Raw genomic sequence first — 19,019 nt, forward strand, 5'->3', positions numbered from 1 at the left:
GTCTTCTCTCCATTTCAGGAAAGAATACCAGAAGCAGTTTGCATTAATGTGTGACAAACAACAGTATGGATTTATAGTCTTTCTCTAGGTTTTATGCTAACTCATGCCCTCTGTCATAATATAGTCCCATGGGACCCAGACTATCTGGACATTCTAGAAAACATTATATTGGTCTAGTATGCTGAGGAATTACGTTAATTGAACTGATGAGCAAGAAGTGGCAAGTATGTAGGAGGCCTTGATAAGACACATGCACTCCAGAGGGTAAAAGATAAACCCAATAAGGTTTCAGAGGCCACCTGGGCAATGAAATGTTAGAGGTCCAGTGGTCTGAGGCATGCCGGGATATTCCTCCAAAATAAAGAATGGATTATTTCTTCTTGTACCTTCCACTAGTAGAAAGGAAGCACAATGCCTGATTGGCCTTTTGGGTGTGTGGAGAAAGCATAGTCCACACTTGGGCATAATGCTCAGACCCATTGATTGGAGGATGTGGAAAGCTTCCAGCTTTGAGTGGGGTCCGGAGGAGAAAGGGCTCTGGGGCCTGGACTTGGCAGACTTTGCCCAATTTTGATAGTAAATGGATAAGGACAGTGGCAAGAGGCCAAGTCCTGAGAAGCCATGGTGACTAGGACTCAGACCCCTTAGGAAGGAAGTTCTGGTTCACTCCACCAGGCAAGTCACTAGAACAGCAGACACACTAGTCTAGGGTGAGGGAAATGTAGAATGGGTGGTAGAGGAAGGAAATCATGAATATCACTTGGGGTCTGTGACAACCTGCAGCAGCTGGGACTGTAGTTTGTCCTGTTAACATTCAGAATCCTAAAGGAGCTATTCCCAGAGGGGGTAAACTTACTATACAAGTCAAGTGAATACAAGCAGTACAAGGGCTGCACTATAGTGGAGTCTGTGCTGGTCACCCAGATGCCCCCTCTGGGACGGAAGAGCTTATTTTCCTAGCTGCTAGGGTTGCTGGCTGCTGCTGGCTGCTGGCTGACGCCTGCCCTGGGTGAAGCCCACAGTTAATGACGGGTCAAGGTGATGTTTCGAAGGCCAGACAATGTGGCCTCAATTGGTGACATCTATGAAAGGCCCTCCGCGTTTCAGAGCTCCCTGTGGTGTCTGCTGGGGCCTCTCTTGCAATTGTTTTATGGTTCAACTTCTTTCCCTGCCCAGGTCTGCTATCTAATTCCCTGATAGGTGTTGTTTCCAAGATCATGCCCAAATATGCTTCCTATACATGAGGGTTTTTCTCAGCTATTTTCCCCCAGAGCAGACCCACAACACTAGGAAATCTAGTATGTCATAGCCCCATCCACCTCCCCCTGGCCATCAGATCTGAAGCATTTGAAAGTCTGCTGATAGACAGAGTCCAAGCCCATGTCACAACTCGTCCAGAGTCTACTGACCCACCTGTGGTCATTTCCCTGGTCCTTGGGCGTATAATGTAAATGGATATATTAGTAGACAGAAGCCTCAGATTGGTTATTTTACTTGTGGTTCTCTGACTCATAGGGAAGGCCAAGTGGAGGCCTCTGAGATGACCCCCACCCATTCCCACATCTCCAGCCAAGATAATAAGTCAAAAACAAAGTCTCATTTTGGTGGGATGGCAAAAATTAGTATCCACTGCTGCCCCAACCCCTGCCCCAGAGATTTGCAGGGATGGTTGTCTTGACCCTATCCCCATGCAAGTCATCTGCCTGACAACGGCTGCTGTGAATTTAATCGAGTGGTAGCTCCAAATTATAGTTGTGTATATATTGTATCTTTACTTGAACAAATTAGCCCAGCCTCTGTCACTTAATATGTAGCTATCAATCTGGCAAATGCGTGCTTTTCAATTTCTATCAAGAGGAAGGATCTGAAGCAGTTTAAATTTACTTGTAATGGACAGCAGGATACATTCCTTGCCATGTCTCAGACCCATGCTTTTGCTATTGTCTGAATATTTGTATCCAATATTTCAAGACTATGCTTTTGCTATTGTCTGAATATTTGTATCCAATACAAATCCATATATTGAAATCCTAACCCCCAAGGTGATGATATAAGGAGGTGGGGCCTTTGGGAGGTGATTATGTCATGAGGGCAGAGTCCTCATGATTGAAATGAGTACCCTTATGAAGGAGACCACAAAGAGCTAGCTAGCCCCTTCCACCAGGTGAGGATGCAATGAGAATGTGCTGTCTATGAGGAATGAACCCTAACCAGACACCAAATCTGCTGGTGTTTCGATCTTGGACATGTTAATTTAGATCTGGAGGAGCAGGCGGCAAATACTTTGGATGCCCTGTTAGGACACCCATACATCAGAAAATAGGAAATAAATCTAAAAAATCCAGGGGCCTCTCAGATTAGTGAAATTTTAGCAATCCAGTTGCCTGGGGCAAACTGATGCTCTATGATGTAGCTATGGTGTACCAGAATGTTTTATGGTGTCTTTGACAAACATCACTGGGAGGCTTGCAGGGCAGAATCCTAGAGTTCTAGAGCAAGACCTTGCCATCTGTACCACAGAACTATTCAGCACTTGAGAAGCAGTTCTTGGCATGCTACTGGGCCTTGGTATAGACTGAACAACTGACCTTGTGACAGCAAGTGGCTGGAGTCTTCCCTCATATCTTGGGTATTTTCAGACTTACCAAATCAGACAGGTGCAGCAGCAACCCATCATACCATGGAATTATTACATTTGGGACCTGGGCATCTCTGAAAAACACAAGTTATAAGAATAAATCGTCCATATCTATGTACACCTATCTCTTTTGCACCAGTGTCTGCACTATGGTCTTATTGGTGCTTCCCTAGGACCAGCTGATGAAGGAGGAAAAGTGTTGGACCTTGTTCATGGGTGGGTCAGCTCAATGAGTTGGTACAATTGGTATGTTGCTACATTACAGCTCTGCTCAGTGATCGCTCTGAAAGACAGTGGTAGGGGAAATTCTCCCAGTGGGCAGAGCTTAGAATAACATGCCTGGCAATCAATTTTATGTGGAGGGAGAAGTCTGAGGTAAAGAAACACTCAGATTAATAAGCAGCATTGAATGACTTAGCTGTTCAGCCAGAGGCTTAGGATAGGCAAGATTGGAAGCTCAGAAACAAGATGTCTAAATAAGAGATGTGTGATACATCTAGGGGAGTGTGAGGACCTTTGTGTTCTCATCAATGCCAATGAGAAGCATCGTCTGCACAGGAGGCACAGAACAACCAAGGGAGTACGACGATGCATTCAGCGGAAATCAGTGTGGACCCTTTCCTTGGTCACCCTAGTTATTGCATAATGAGGCTGTGGGCATGTTAGTAATGGAGGTGGAGACAGAGGCTATGCATGGGCCCAAGAACATGGGATTAATTGCAAGGCTGATCTAGCTTCTATCATTGCTGACCGTCCGAACTGTCAGCAGCCAAGACTGGCTGCTGATGGTTCTGACGGTCAACAATGATAGTAGCTAGATTCCTTGATATGGAATCACCTGCTAGGAGACCAACCAGCTATCTGGTTGCAGGTTGATTACATTAGGACTCTTCCATCCTGGAAGGCATGCTGAGTCATTCTACTGGGATGATTTCAAACTCTAGGTATGGGTTTCCTTTCCTGCCTTTAGTGTTTCAGCTAGAATGACTCTACAAAGGTTCTCAGTCTTTTTGATTTGTCATCATGGGATCCCACACCATACCACCTCAGACTAAATGACCCACTTTACAGTGAAGGAATGTGACAATGGACACATGACCTTGCCCTCCACTCGTGCTACTGTATTCCACATCATTCAGAAGTGGCTGGCCTGATAGAATGTTGGGATGGCTTCTTAAAGGTGCAGATTACTTGTCAACTTAGAGATGATACCCAGAAAGGATGGGACACCATTCTTCAAGATGGAGTAAATACTTTAAACCAATGACTAGTATACATTTTTCTCATAGGTAGAATACACAGGTCTGGGAACCCGATGGTTGAAGTAGGACCCTGTGACCTTGCCTTAAAAAAAAGCGGCACAAGTGGATCTGAGTGGTACAGGGGCTGGACTGTGACAGCCTCTCTTAGTGCCCTGCTCACCTATCTGGAATCCTAGCATTTCATTGCATTCTGGATGACTTTCAACTCCCAGTGTCTACTTCTCTGCGCTAGAGAACTTTTCCTACAAGTGCAGAAAGCTGCTCTGCCTGCTTGCCCAGCAAGCTGGAAATACTGGGGAATTAACAGCTCTCTGGGATCAGCCCTCAGCCCAAAGGCAGACAGAAGTGAATGTATAAATACCCCAGGTCCTTCATCAGTCAAGTAGGATAGCTTTGAGGCATGTAATTTGCAGTTTCTTAGAGTTTTCCTGTGGGATTACTCGGTAGCTGCCCATTGTTTCAGCTGGTTTAATATGCACACTTTATTTGCCACTTTTTCCTGTCTGTATCACTTTTCTACTTCTCTGCAATTTTTGCTTGTGACTTCCAAATAAACTACTTGTGCTCAAATCCTTGTCTCAGAGTCTGTGTCTGGGAGAATCCAGATGAGATAGTTTCCTACAATCTTTCTACCTTTATTCTCCATTTGCATGGGTTTCTTACTCATATGTCCCATTCTGTTTTATCATACGTCATCTTTTGAATTATGTTTCCTGGCAATAGACCCCTACAGTTCCTTTTCCTTCACTGAAGGCAATCTAGTCCCTGTTACCTTCAGGCTCCAGAACAAGTGGAAAAATATCACCCGGGGCTAACTGAAAAACAGAACTCAAATATCTAAGGCAGTTTAACAAAAGCCATATGCAATTAGTAGTAGAACTGGGAATAGATATGCCTTTTCAAAGACAACAGAGCTGGCATAAGTTTCACCAGGTTGGGAATACAAATGATAACCTTAGGCCATCATCTTGCCCACAAGTTCTTAACATCCCTCAAAGATGATACCAATTATTTCTGAGTGATTGATTCCAAGTTGGCATTCCAGAATTTGGGTTCTTTCTCTCCCTTTCTGGCTCCCGTTCTAGTCAACATCCACAGCGCTGGAATTGGCCAATATGTTCTTGGTGATAATGCCAATGACTTTGCCAAAGGGATTGTCTCTCAAGGCTCTGGCTCCTTTGGTTCATGACACAGTCCAGGAAGCTGTCGAGTGTCCCTGTCAGCCATCGTGATGATGTCCCTGGTGAGAATACCCATGTCCTCACCAGAAGCCTGTCTCTGAAGCTCTCAGAGCTGCCATTCCTGGGGTGCAGGAATAGTCCAACCAAAACCGCAGAGCGTGGCCCCTTCCAGACTTCTGAAGCTACATGGTTGGTGTTTGAGTTTTCATTTCATTTCTCAAGAGCATCTCCTTTAGCTTCTGAGCCTCATCCCCAATTCTCTGACAGCCACCGATTAAACAAAAGCATGCATATCAACCCAAGAACAAACAGCAATTTTCCTGCATAAAAATGACTCAAACCATTCTTAAAATATAAAATGAAGTAAAATTTCCCCAAAGGCAACTCAATGTATAGAGTAGAAAGTGTACTTTACATGCAGATAATATTTTTTTGTGAGCACAAAGAGCATTTCAGTCTCAAGAACCACAGCTGTGTCTCAAAAGCCTCTTCTCCAATTATGGTCCTGGCTTGATATTTACATACCCAAATGGCCCATTTGAGTGGTTTTCCAGAAACAGTGTCCTCCAATGTCTTCCTCTCTTTCCAACCCAAATTACTTAGAAATGGCAGTGCTTCGCTTCCAGCTTCCCCTCCACTCCACACAGATTTCCTTCATTTCTATAATTTTTTTCAGTGATTTTCGGGCCAAGTTTTAAGAGACCAGGAGTATGTTCAAGGGATCATCTCAGGTAAATGTCTTAAAAATGGACCATTTCCCCTGCAGTGAGGGAGGGAGGTGGAAAGTCCTGTAGCTTTCCTGGACAGACTAGACCATGGATGCTGACCAACCCAGAGCCATAGGCCTGGGCCCTTCTCCAGCATATTCAGGCAACTAAGAGTCAGCTTTTAAGCATAGCCTCATGTCAGAGACCCTGGGTCCAGGCTGATGACCAATGGTCTTTCTGACTCTAAGTGCAAGACTGTTTTCTGATGCCTCTTAGAAAAGACGCTGGGATTTTGAGGATGGCAGGGCCACTTCCATGAGTGTCCCCATGGGGACCAGCTCTGGGCAGCTCTTGCCAACCACCCCAGTAGGAAAGTGACCATTGCAAACTTTTTGCAGGTGAGACAGACCTGCTAATCATTACAAAATGGCTGAACCATGCGCGGACAGCCTGGAAAAAGCAGTCATTTTCAATACGAGTTTTAAAGCCTTCACCAAGTCCCTTGCCAACCCAGCTAATAGAAGGGAGGCTTGGGAAAGCTTACTCATCCTGCTTAGCCCAACTTTGTTCTGCCTCCTACTCAGTCATAAATTGCTGCACAGGCTGTGCTGGCTAAATTGACATTAAGAGTTATTAAAGGAATGAGTCTACAGTTTAGGAAATGTGCATTCATGATAGGCTTCTGCAGTCTTAGGAAGAGCCACGGCAGGGCAGGGGAAGCTGACAGTTGCAGAGGTGGGGCCTCACAGCTTGGAAAGTTGGAAGAAATCCTGGTGCTCTTGGAGGCCCAGTGCCCCCAGTTAAGGAGACACAGCCATAAAGGAACCCTATGGTGACTCATGCAGCCTTGTCTGTGATACTGACTGATGGTCTGTGGGTTTATGTCTGGTTTCCACACACAGGTTTGTGTATGCATGTCTTCCTCCAAAAATCATCATTTTAATTTTTTGGCAGCCTAGTGGTATTCATCTTGGAGTGTGAGTGGAGGTTCCTCCTGTCTGTATATTGGCAGCTCTAGCTTCCTGTCTACCATGGCCCATGGGCCTCCCTACACCAAGAAGCAACACTTGTTCCTCTGTGTTGCTTGGTTAACATGGAACACACCCAATCTGCTCTTGCACTTGCTTCTTTAACTCTTGTGGTGTCACCTACGCATTTGTGTATAACTTGTTTTCTCTACCAGATTGTGACCTCCTGGAGTACGGAAAATATCTGGTCTTCTCACTGTGCTATGGAGACAGCAGGTGTTCCACAAAAATAGTTTGCATGAGTAATTATGGAGCTGCTTCTGGGGCTGGCATCTGGAGGAAGACAATTACCTGTTACTTTAATTTTCTATACAGGGAGAGCAGATATACTTGTTAGAATTTATTGTAAAACAAGATGAAGCTTGTCTATGACTTAAGCAGCCAAGACGTGGTGCCCAGGTTTTGTTGAAAGGTTTACTTTGGCACTTTTCCAGATAACTGTGTTTGCCAGAGGAGTGACCACTGGATAGTAGTAGCGAAGGTTTAATGACATCTTTGCTGTATGCCAGAGAACTTTCTGTGGGCTGTATGTGCATTAACACATTTAATCTTCAAAACAGTTTGAGTTAAGTTCCCCATCACACCTATTTTACAGATGAAGAAACTGAGATAGGCTGGGCACGGTGGCTCACGCCTGTAATCCCAGCACTTTGGGAGGCTAAGGCGGGCAGATCATGAGGTCAGGAGTTCAAGACCATCCTGGCCAACATGGTGAAACCCTGTCTCTGCTAAAAATACAAAAATTAGCTGAGTGTGGTGGTGTGTGCCTGTAATTCCAGCTACTTGGGAGGCTGAGGCATGAGGATCGCTTGAACCCAGGAGGCAGAGGTTGCAGTGAGCTGAGATTGCGCCACTGAACTCCAGCCTGGTGACAGAGTGAGACTCCGTCTCAAAAAAAAAAAAAAAAAAAAAAAAAAAAAGAAACTGAGATATGTAGAGATTAAGTACCCCACCCAAAATCACATAACCAAAAAATTATGGAGCTGGGATTTAAGATCAGGCATTCTGACTTGAGAAACTGTACTCTTAACCGGGATGCTATAGGACCTCTCAAAAAACTTGAAACACACTGACCCACCCACCCATCCATCCACCTATCCATCAAATGTTTAAGCCCCTTTGAAATAAATAGCTTATATATAATGACTATATCTTTAAATCTTCTGCTCCACACCTCTTCTCAATGCCCTTCTTAGCTCTCAGACTTGGTAGAGGGCATCCACAGTGAATAAAACCTCTGGCTAGGATTTTGGAAGCAATAAAGAACACTGGAAATGATGACAGTAAGTTGGAGTCCACTAAGTTTATCCTGGAGAAGTGAAGAGAAGGACTTGCTGGAAATTATATGATTTGGGATACATATGAAAATTCTAGGAATGATTTTCTCTGGCAGCATTCATACTGGGTAATGTTTGGGAGGAGTCTTTCCATGTTTTCTTTATTATATTCCATATGTTGGTTTATATTTTTCTATTTCATTCTTCCAAAAGTTATAAAGGATATTTTTGTCCATTAGGTCTTTAATAGAGTATCTGCCTCTTCTACTATGATTTGAATAGTGTACCTTTGGTCTAACTGAACCATCAGGGGTTGCTTAAAATGGGAAAAGGGGAGATCTGGGTTTGGTACAGTACTAATCTCACTGGGACCGTTTCCTCACCCGTAAAGTAATGGAAATAAATGAGATGACCTCTAAGTCCTGTCTCAGTTCTGAGTCTGGTCCTGAGTATTTTTAGCCACATTTCTGGAAGGCTCACCTTCCTACACATTTTTCTTAATGTGCATATCAAAACTTTTCATTCTTGGCACTGGGTTTTTGGCATAACAACATCTTCAGCCCATCCTTCCTATCTTGGAAAATAACATTCAGGGAAAGGGGTGATTTAATTTTTCATTTTAGACAAGTTAAAGGTGCTTTCTTCTGGTCTTATAGGCCTTCTCTTTATTCCTTCCCCTAACTATTGAGTGGGCAGGATGTCCCAGTCAGCAAATAACCTTTAAATTCAGAGGACTAACCCACAGCTGCTTCCAGAGGCTGCTTGCAGGCATCACTTTGTAGATGAACAAGTCTTTTAATAGGGATAAAATGCTGGTGCTGCCTGCTGGTCTGTTGGCACATGTCCCGGAATTCTGCTAATGTTGCTTTCGTATTCAGGATTTGGATTTTTTGTCCTCATTACCTTAACACCTCTTTGCTATTAAAAAAAATTCAATGTCAGTCAAAGATGAAAACAACCAGTGTCAAGGCAGTAACAGCTTAGTGATTCCAGTAATAATAATATGTGCTAACATCTGCTGGATACTTACTATTTGTCAGGCACTGTTTTAAGTGCTTTGTATTCACCAGCTTGTTTGATTTTCTATGAGGTAGACATGATTATTCTTTTACAGTTCCTCAACAAAGGCACAGAGAAGTTAAGTAACTTGATTACAGTCACAGCTAGTGGTAGTTTTCTGAACTTTGGCTCTTAATACTGGAGATGAGGTGGGGGTATGCAAGAGCCTGCTGAAGAATAAAATGCATCTCAATAGACCTGAAAGACTGTATTTGGTGGGAGATTTGCCCAGCTGGATTCTAATAGCTTTAAATAAGCACTTACTGGGGAGAAATAGAAAATATTTCTAATCCTGGATGCTACAGAATGGTGGGCATATATAATATTTTCGCTGCAAAAATATTTATGCAGTATCTGCTATGTATCAGGAAGACTGCTAGGTGATTTAGAAGACTAAAAAGAGAGGAGTTACATGTGCTTCCAGAAAAAAAAAAAAGAAAAAAAAAGCCAAATGATTGGAAACAATATTTCTGGCCTCTGATGATTTTATGCAAATGCACAGAGTATGGAAAATAATAAAACCTTGCAGATTTAGAAACATCTAGACAATGGCCCAGCACAGTGGCTCACGCCTGTAATCCCAGCACTTTGGGAAACCAAGGAGGCGGATCATTTGTGGTCACGAGTTAAAGACCAGCCTGGCCAACATGGCAAAACCCCGTCTCTATTAAAAATACAAAAATTGCCAGGCGTGGTGGTGGGCACCTGTAATTCCAGCTGCTCAGGAGGCTGAGACATGAAAATTCCTTGAATCCGGGAGGTGGAGGTTGCAGTCGAGATTGCACTCCAGCCTGGGTGACAAAGTGAGACTCTGTCTCAAAAAAAATCCAAACCAACCAACAAACAAAAAAACACCCAGACAAATATCGTCTTTCCTATATGACCAAGATGGAATGGGCTAGGACTGACAAGTAGAATGGGTGGGCTCCAAAGAAACAGATCTGGTAGCAGGCAAGTGACGTTTGTCAGACCAAGAGACGTGACACATGGCAGAGAGAAGAAAGCTGGACATGTTGGTCAAGGACATTAGCTGTCAGGAAACCATCTTTCACAGAATACAGAATGGGAGCCCATGGCCAGAGACGTCAGAGGGAAGAGCTGTCGATGGAAGGAAGCCTTTAATAAATTAAATAAAGGCAATCAGACCCTAAGAACCCACAACAAAGAGATTGATGGGGCAGGTAAAACATCGTGGGATGGCCCAGGAAGTTCAGTTCATTTCCAACATCTTAGCTGGGTTTTATAAGGCCAAGTTGGGTGATAGAAGCTAATATGAATGCCCACCAGCTAAAACCCAGAATGACCTGAATGAAAATGGATAGCAAACAACACATTCTAACTGTAATTGTAACAAGAAGAAAATGAAGGAAAAGTGGTTTCCATTGCTTTCAGCAGGTGATAAAATAGAAACATTACAGTCTAACTAATTGGTAAAATCTTTGCTATTATTGAAAAAAATTAATTAAAAAATTTATAATTGACTCAATAATAACATATTTATGGGGTACAGTGTGATGTTTCAATGCATGTGTAGTTGTATACATCAAATCAGGGTAATTACCATATGCACACTTTAAACACTATCATTTCTTTGTAGTGATAGCATTCAAAATCTCTTCTAGCTGTCTTGAAAGAATCCTGGCTCTTTGATTAACTGAAGCAGCATTGACTAATGGATTGATTGAAAAATAGAGGGAGAGCTTAAAACATTCTTTGCCCTACCTTATTCAACATTTAAACTTTTAATTTCAAAGACAAAATATAAAATATGCATAAAAGTGGAAAGAATAGTATAATAAGGCCTAATATTACATTTTAATATTAATTATATTATATTAGTTGTTACATGAATATAATAATCATAAATGTAATCAATGATATCAATTGTTACATTATGCATAAAGTAATATTCATGCTCTATGCATATTAATAGTATAATAAGTTTCCATCTATCCAATACCCAGTTTCTAGACTTAGCATGATTGTGCTACACTTGCTTCATTTGTCCATCATGTGTTCTCTGCTGAGGTATTTTAGAGCAAATCTCAGAAAGCACGTTATATCATCACCGTATAATTCAGCAGAAATTCATGAAAACAGAACATTTTAAAAAATAACACAACGATTGCATCAAAAGTAACAATAATTCCTGGTACCTTCTGACATCTTGATTGCCTCAAAATGGCTTTTTAGTGTCGGTTATTTAAACTGGGATCTAAATAAGATCCTCTTATTATATTTGGTAATTGGATCTACTGTCTCTTTTACCCAAGAGCAGTTTCCCTGTTTCCCTGTTTCTCCTGCTGCATATGTTTTTTTTAATTCCAGTTACTTGTTGAAGAAACCAAGATAGTTTTCCCACAGAATGCCCATATTCTAGAATTGTTTGTTTGCTTTCTTGCGGTGTCATTTAAGTTGTCCATCACAATTCCTGGAAGTGCCAGGGAAGTTGATTTGATTCAGATTTTTTTTTTTAATTTTTAACAGCAAAACTTCATAGGTGGTACTTCACATTTCATATTACAGCACACAGGAGGCACATGACGTATGCCTGTTCCATCTTTAGTGTTGCTAGTGTTGATTAAGGGTGACAGTCAGTCTTTCCAGTATAAATTCCCCCATTGATAGGGTGACAATAGCAGTTTTCATGGATCTGTCCCAGTTTATGACTATTTTGCTGGTGTCCTGCTCAGTGTAATCATTTGTTCTAGATTTTTGATTTTTAAACAAACTATTATTATTAATAATTGCACTAACATCAACCAAGATGATTTCCACTTTGTATTTCCAGCTTCCACCATACTCTCATCTAGAAGTGTGGGATACACACCTGCAGTGAGCAGAATTCTTTAGCATGTGGTTAATGTGAAAGGCAACCAGCAATGACCCACTTCTAGATGGAATGTTCTCTTTCAAGGACCGTGCAGGGTGTTTGTTGATAAAACAAGGTGTGCTCAGATGCAACTAGCTGGAGATGGCTAACTCCATCCAATTTCAGATGGTGGTGGAAGATAGATTCAATGTTACTGCCCTCATCAGACACTTGGTTTACCACACAGTTGGACAGAGGCCTGTGCTATGGCCACTAGGCTGCTGGTCACTGTGGTCATTGAGAAATGTGGGATTATAAGATAGGTTTACACGAAATGTTTATAGAAGTAGAGGCTGTGCTATTCTGCCATGGAGAATAGGAAAAGTAGTCTGAATACTCTGGCATTATCATTTATTTTATGGTTAAACGACTACAACTATTTATTTATTTATTGAGATAGGGTCTTTCTCTGTCACCCAGGCTGGAATGCAGCAGTGCAATTACATCTCATTGCAACCTCTGCCTCCTAGGCTCAAGCAATCCTCCTGCCTCAGCCTCCTGAGTAGCTGGGACTACAGGCACACACCATCATGCCTGGCTAGTTTTTTGCAGAGACGGGATCTCCCTATCTTGCCCAGGCTCCCCCTATCTTGTCCAGCTGGTCTCTAGCTCTTGGACTTGAGCAATCTGCCTGCTTTGGCCTCCCAAAGTGCTAGGATTACAGGCATGAGCTACCGTGCCTGGCTTATTTATTTGTTTTTGGTAAACTCTTGGTAGCAAAAATCTACAAAAATGGTGGTCTATGTTTAACGAAAACTTTAATACATTTTTACTTTTTAAAAAAGTTGATGATGAATGTGTAACTTGCTGCCAATGTTTGTCAACATTTACCACCCATCGGGGGCCCATGATGATATTACTGACTGTTACTGGTGGAAGATCTTGACTAGGAGTTGTACAGGTTTTTGGTGTGTTGAGCAAAGAATTGGACAAAATGCACAAACCAAGCAATGGAAGGCAAAAGCATAGATTTAGTGAAGTGAAAGTACACTCCACAGAGCAGGAGCTGGCTGGAGCAAGAAGCTCAAGAGCCCTAGTTGCAAATTTTCTGGGATTTAAGTACCCTTTAGAGATTTCCTATTGGTTACTCCCTGTTTAAATGAAGACTTGGCCTGCCGCCAGTTGGAGGCTGAAGTGAAGGCTTGGCCCGTGACCAATCAGAGGCTGAAGTGGAGTTACACTCTATGCAAATGAAGACTTGGCCCATGACCAATTGGAGGCTGAAGTGAAGTTACCCCCTGTGCAAATAAAGGCTGGGCTGGTGACCAATCAAAAGCTGAAGTGCTGCCTGTCTCCAGACCCTATTCTGCCTCACTGACCACATAAAAAGCAGAAGACAAAAATCTCATGAAGAAGCTTCATCATCTGCTTCAAAAATTGGTAATTATTTCAAGAAGACTGTGCCTAAAGATGACAATTTAGCACCTGCAGTTGCAGAAGGTGCTTTTACACATACTTGGTTAATCATGATTTTTCATTTAGATCAAATAACTAGTCTTCTAAACTAATCTTCCTCATTTGAAATTCCAAATTTTCTCATTCATTTATAGAAAGTGAAATGATAGCTATTTATATTTTCATGACATTAGCAGAACTTTGTAAACAGGTAAATGAAGATGGATTCAGATCAATGTCCTTAGAGCCTTCAAATTGAAGTTAGTTAATTCCAATAATGTTTGTGTTTTTCATCTGCTTCATGGAATCAAAATAAAGCTTTTGGAAGTTCGCTCTTTGAAGGGAACATTATTGTAATAAAGTTATTGTAAATAAAGTTTGATATTGGAGATATTTATAGTTATAAAATTAGTTATATTTATGGTGATAATGACAAATACAAATTTTGATAGGACCAACTATTGTGGTCAAAGCAATGTTTTTACTAAAATAAGAGCCTATGAGGCATAAATCTGTGAATAATTGTTATACACATGATTATAATTTTATTCAAATAAGCTAAAACATTTTACTAACCAAAACAGAAGCTGTTGTTGTCAAAATTTACAAATATATACACTTTATCACAGTTGCAGTATTTGAGCTACAACATTTTCTTTTGTAACTTTTTTTTAAAAAGATGATGCTTTCTCTCTTCACTGCCAACTATGAGCTGGAGTTCAGTTATGCTTGAGCCTTTGAAGAATGACTTTGTAAACCAACCTTTGTGTTCTACAAGGGCATTGAATTTTCTATTTATGCTTCTGATAAATTTGGGTTATAGTTTGTTTAAAATCAGCTGGAAGTTTTTAATTATTGTACTCAAAGGATGACACACCAAAATCTTCAGCTTTTGAAGTTTTTGATGAATTGTAATTATTGAGAGAAAAGCTTGCCTGGGAAGGCATTAGAATTCACCTCTATAAAAGGCAAGAGAAAAACACAAGAAATTAAACAATGAGAATTCAAACTATATTTAAAATTTGATTTTGAGTTACTATAATTGCACCTTGGAATATATCGAATTGCAGGAAGAACTTTTTGATGAAGTTTTTACTTTAATTGTAAGTCTATATTCTGTATTGAAAGAAGGTCTTTGATTTGCAGTCCCTACCTTTGGTGAAACCTTAAAATAATCATAGAGACAATGTATTTAATGAGTTTTATCTTGTAGAAATAGTTGTTGAAAAATAGAGGCAAATAACAAGTCTTTAAAAAATACTAGGGCTGAAATATTTACGCATTTAAAAATGGACAATGTATTCCTCTTTTTTTTTTTCTTTTTTGAGATGGAGTATTGCTCTGTTGCCCATGCTGGAGTGCAGTGGTGCCATCTTGGCTCAGTGCAACCTTCAGCTCCCTGGTTCAAGCGATTCTAATGCCTCAGCCTCCCAAGTAGCTGGGATTACCGGCATATGCCTGGCTGACAAAACATTCTTTACATCTAAGAATAGGTGTCGGTGGAAGTGCTGAGGAGGGAGGCAAATTCATATTTTTAATGGATCTCTTCATGTGAAGACAAAATGTTATCCTTTCCCCAAGGCACTGACTGTTTTTCCCAGGGGATCGTGCCATACTGGGGACTCAGCGTTAGCCTCTGAGTTTGGGGCGTTGGGTACCCTGGAGTCGTGGTGGCCAGATCAGACGTGGTGAAGGAAGATCGTGCTGTTGAGCATGCACAGCCTCCATGGAGCAGGCCCTGGAGTGGCTGACTGACAGGCTTTGAATGGGCTCTCTTTTCCACCTGGCTACTAGGACACTCCTCTGTCAGGAGTGTCTTTGGCCGACATATACATGAGCCATAAACATCTTTGTGTTACACGCTCATTCTAAAAGAGCCAACTATGTGTCTCTATCCTAGACTTCCTTGTCACTAATTTTTCAATTCTTTCCAAGTCTGTGAGCAAGCAGCCAAGCCATTAGCTGTTGCCTATGAGTCATTACAGATTTGTATCTCAGGCCACTTCTCCTTCCGCATGAAGTAGAAGACTAGATGTACCACTTGAAGTTCTGCCCACCAGGATAATTTGCCTTCATCACTGCCTTTCAGGGCCATCTTTAAAAGTGTAGTGCTAAAGGCATCCACATCTGGCTCATGCCTGCACACCATGAGGATTCATTTGTAGACGAGGCCTGTGCTTTATCTTTTCCTGCTAACTGGACATAGGGGACTCGCCCTGAGGTCACAGGTATGGATAAGGGTGAGGTGGTGGAGCAGTGGCTGCTGGAGTCATGGCAGTGAGGGGCAGCTGTTGGTGCAGTTCGTGCATGCTTTCTGGACCTGCTTGGGCTTGGTCTCCTATATACCACTTCCAATTTGTAATGGAAAGTTGCTGTACATGTCTGACTTGGTGGTTTGGTGAATTTAACTTATGATGGACAGTTGGGTTGCACAGTCAAGTTGGTATACCCTGGTGAAGCATAAAGCCTCTACCAGGGCCCAGCAGCCAGACATCAGCTGCTTTTATGATGGAGAATAGTTGTCAGCAGAGGAGAGCATTTGGGGCTTGCCAGCTACCCCAGTGGAGCTCCACAGACACTTTCCATTGGGTCTGTTGGTAATAAGGTTTAAGTGGCAGGGCAGCTTGCACCAGAGCATCAACCTGCTGAAGAATCCTTTTTTGATTTCTGCTAAGCTCTAAACTGTCAGCCTTATGGTTTTCCTGGCAAATGAACTGTAATTGCATATACTCATACTTGCCATATATTGCCTCCCCAAACAAAAGAGGGCCACCAAGCATCATGCCTTCTTTGTGGTAGTTGGTGCAAAGTGCAGCAACTTGGCTTTTATTTTAGAGGGAAGTCCCGCCACACTGCACTCCTCTGGACCCCTAGAAACTTCAATATTACAGGCCCATGTGAAGTTCCACAGGGAATTATCTCCTGGCCTTTGGCATGCACATGTCTCCTTAGGCATCTAGGATCCTTAATATGATCTGATCATAAGACCAATTAGCATAATGTCGTCAATATAATGGACCAGTATGATGCTCTGTGAGATATCAAGTTCATCACAATCCCTCCAAGCTATGTAGATAAAGCTGACTTAGTCCTGAGGGTCAGGGGTCAGGTAATAGTAAATGTTGGCCCTGGCAATAAAGATGCTACAAATGAAACTGCAGCTTTGATTGTCATTATCATCATCGGATTTTATTTCTGATGATCTGTGGTCATTCTTCATAACCCAACTGACCTTTGTTTTAGGCAAAAGTGTGATAAATTAGGGATGTGATGGGAATCACCATCACTTTGTTTCTTGGGGCTTTGATGGTGGCACTAATCTCTCAATCCCTCCAAATATGTGTTTTGCCTTTGCTTTTCTACCTTGGCTGAGAGTGAGCACTGGGGAGAGGAGGATAGTTGCTGGGGTTTCCACTTGATTCTTCCTACCATAATTTAGCCTTCACTCAACAGGTTAGGAAATGAGTGTAGAGATTTTGCTAGTTACTCTGTTATACCTATTTCTGCTGTACAATACATCTGGATTTGGGGATGGAGCTACCACATAGGTCCACAGCCCCACTGGCCCTACAATTACATGGACTTGGGCCACAGCTGTTTCCAACACGGACTTTCATTAGGCCCTACTCTAACAGGTGCCCCACACTGGGATTTTGGATTTCTGTGTGGCCAGTGTGTACATAACCAGTGAAATCTACATAAGGTTTATGGATCATACCAATGTTAATTTCTTGCCTGCGCTATTGTGCTACAGTTGTGTAAGATTTCAGCATTGGGAGCAGGGGAATTGTGGGCAGAGCTTCCCTGTACGTTTCTCTGTAATCTTGTGAATCTACAATTATTCAAAAGAAAAGAAAATTTTAACAGGTGTAAAATTGTTTGTTTTGCTAGGCTATTGAAAGGATTAGAGTAAAATGCATTTGGTATTATAATGTCTAGCACAGAGTAGGTTTTTAATCCATTATATTCACACAAACACAGACACACACACACACACAACCCTGAATGCTTGACATTCCTAGCTTCCTACCAGCGAGGCATGAGCTTTGAGTTGTCTGCCTGTTGGCTGTATTACGCAGGCCTCACGCTGTATTCTTATTTTCCCTTTTGAACCAGGGCACCACTAGTAAAGCAGCTGTCCGAGATAATGCCTACATTGTTGGCCTATGACCCAAGGAGCTCCCTGGCTACTCTGGGGTGTGATGGTAGTCACAGACTCACTCCACAGTACCTGGGCTGAGTGAGATCCAGCGAGGCAGCCCCACCCATGGTGGTAGAGGGTGGTGGTAGAGGTGACAGTGGGAAGAGTCAGGTATAGACTGAGATGAGGATGCTGAGAAGGCCAGGGGGCGATTGGAAACTCCGCCCTGGCCGCACCTCACGGAACTGTGGCTCTGGCCACTCATGGGCAGTTCTGCTGCGAAAGACGGGACATTGCTCATCTTCCTACTGACGCTTGTTGAAGAGCTTGGGCACGATGTCTAAATACGTAATTAAAGTTAATCTTGTTGCCATTACCTTATTCATTACAGTGATTTTCTGGTGGCTTTTATGGATCATTGTAAAACTGGTTTTGAATGAAGTATGTCTCCTCACTTTTTCCGTCTTAATTTTTAAGAGTGCCTATATTCTTTGGTTGCTAAGTAACATGCCTATAATGTGTTATCACAGTGGTTCTATCTGAATAATTTCAGTAATCACTTAGGAGATTGCTTTAATAGTATATCATCTTAAATGGGAAGAAATGACTAATTCTAGGCTGTTTGGAGAAAACTGACTGAAGCATTTCCTCAAAGACAGGAGGTTTGTCAGCCAAGGAACTTAAAGACAGAGCACATAACCCCTAACTCAGGGCAGTTCTCCTTCAGAAGTTTCCCCCCTGCCTCCAGTGTCTCCAGAGACAACACACCTGCTCCAGGGACTTCAAAAGTTTTAAAGAACCAAAGGATCCAGAAGAGGAGATATTTAAAAAGGAATATTTGAGAATATTAAGGAACATTTTGTTGCCATGACTGGAAAAATTGCATTTATTACAACCCCGTAAATACAGATATGAGATGCGGAAGTAAGGCAGTGTTGGTCTTGTGAAAGCCGGGCAGAAACACGAGCAGAGTTAACTATGGAGCTATCATTATGGTTAACCCATGGGAGCCCCTAGATCTGAGACCAATCAGCGACACTGCAGATGCAGCTCTCCGAAGCTGAGTTTTTTTCTTCCTCCTAGATGAGCATCCTGGAAGAGGAAGCCAGGAGCTCAGAAATGTGTTCATCTGAGCTGGAGACCAACAGGACTAAGGCTGTGAATCTGAGCCCCAAACACAGGCAAAGTGTGTGTTGTTCTCATGTCCAGATCCTACCCCAATCCTGACCATTTCATGGAAGTCTACAGTCTGGGTCGGGTGTACAAATGGCACGAGACATATTCAGGTTTTTCTTATTCTGCAGAAATGTCTCCTTCAGCCTTCCCTTCTCTCACTTCTTGACTGGCTGTTTTCTCTACTTTAGCACCAAACTTTCACTGTCTCCACCGTCTCACCTCTCATTCACTTTTCAACCAGTTGTCATCTGGATCCCTACTCTCCTTCCCAACTAATGACTAA

The 19,019-nt window shown here is 42.2% G+C and overlaps 1 long non-coding RNA gene across 1 annotated transcript in view; it reads right to left on the reverse strand.

Annotated features, from left to right (window-relative positions):
• The window catches only part of LINC00423 (long intergenic non-protein coding RNA 423), a 102,463-nt gene that overhangs the window by 65,596 nt on the left and 17,848 nt on the right, over window positions 1–19,019 (reverse strand). Inside the window, exon 4 of the long non-coding RNA NR_047020.1 lies at window positions 2,646–2,712. This is a non-coding gene — a long non-coding RNA (long intergenic non-protein coding RNA 423). The remainder of the gene's footprint in view (window positions 1–2,645; window positions 2,713–19,019) is intronic.

The sequence above is a fragment of the Homo sapiens genome, chromosome 13 (assembly GCF_000001405.40).
Source record: "Homo sapiens chromosome 13, GRCh38.p14 Primary Assembly".
NCBI classification, from domain to species: Eukaryota; Metazoa; Chordata; class Mammalia; order Primates; family Hominidae; genus Homo; species Homo sapiens.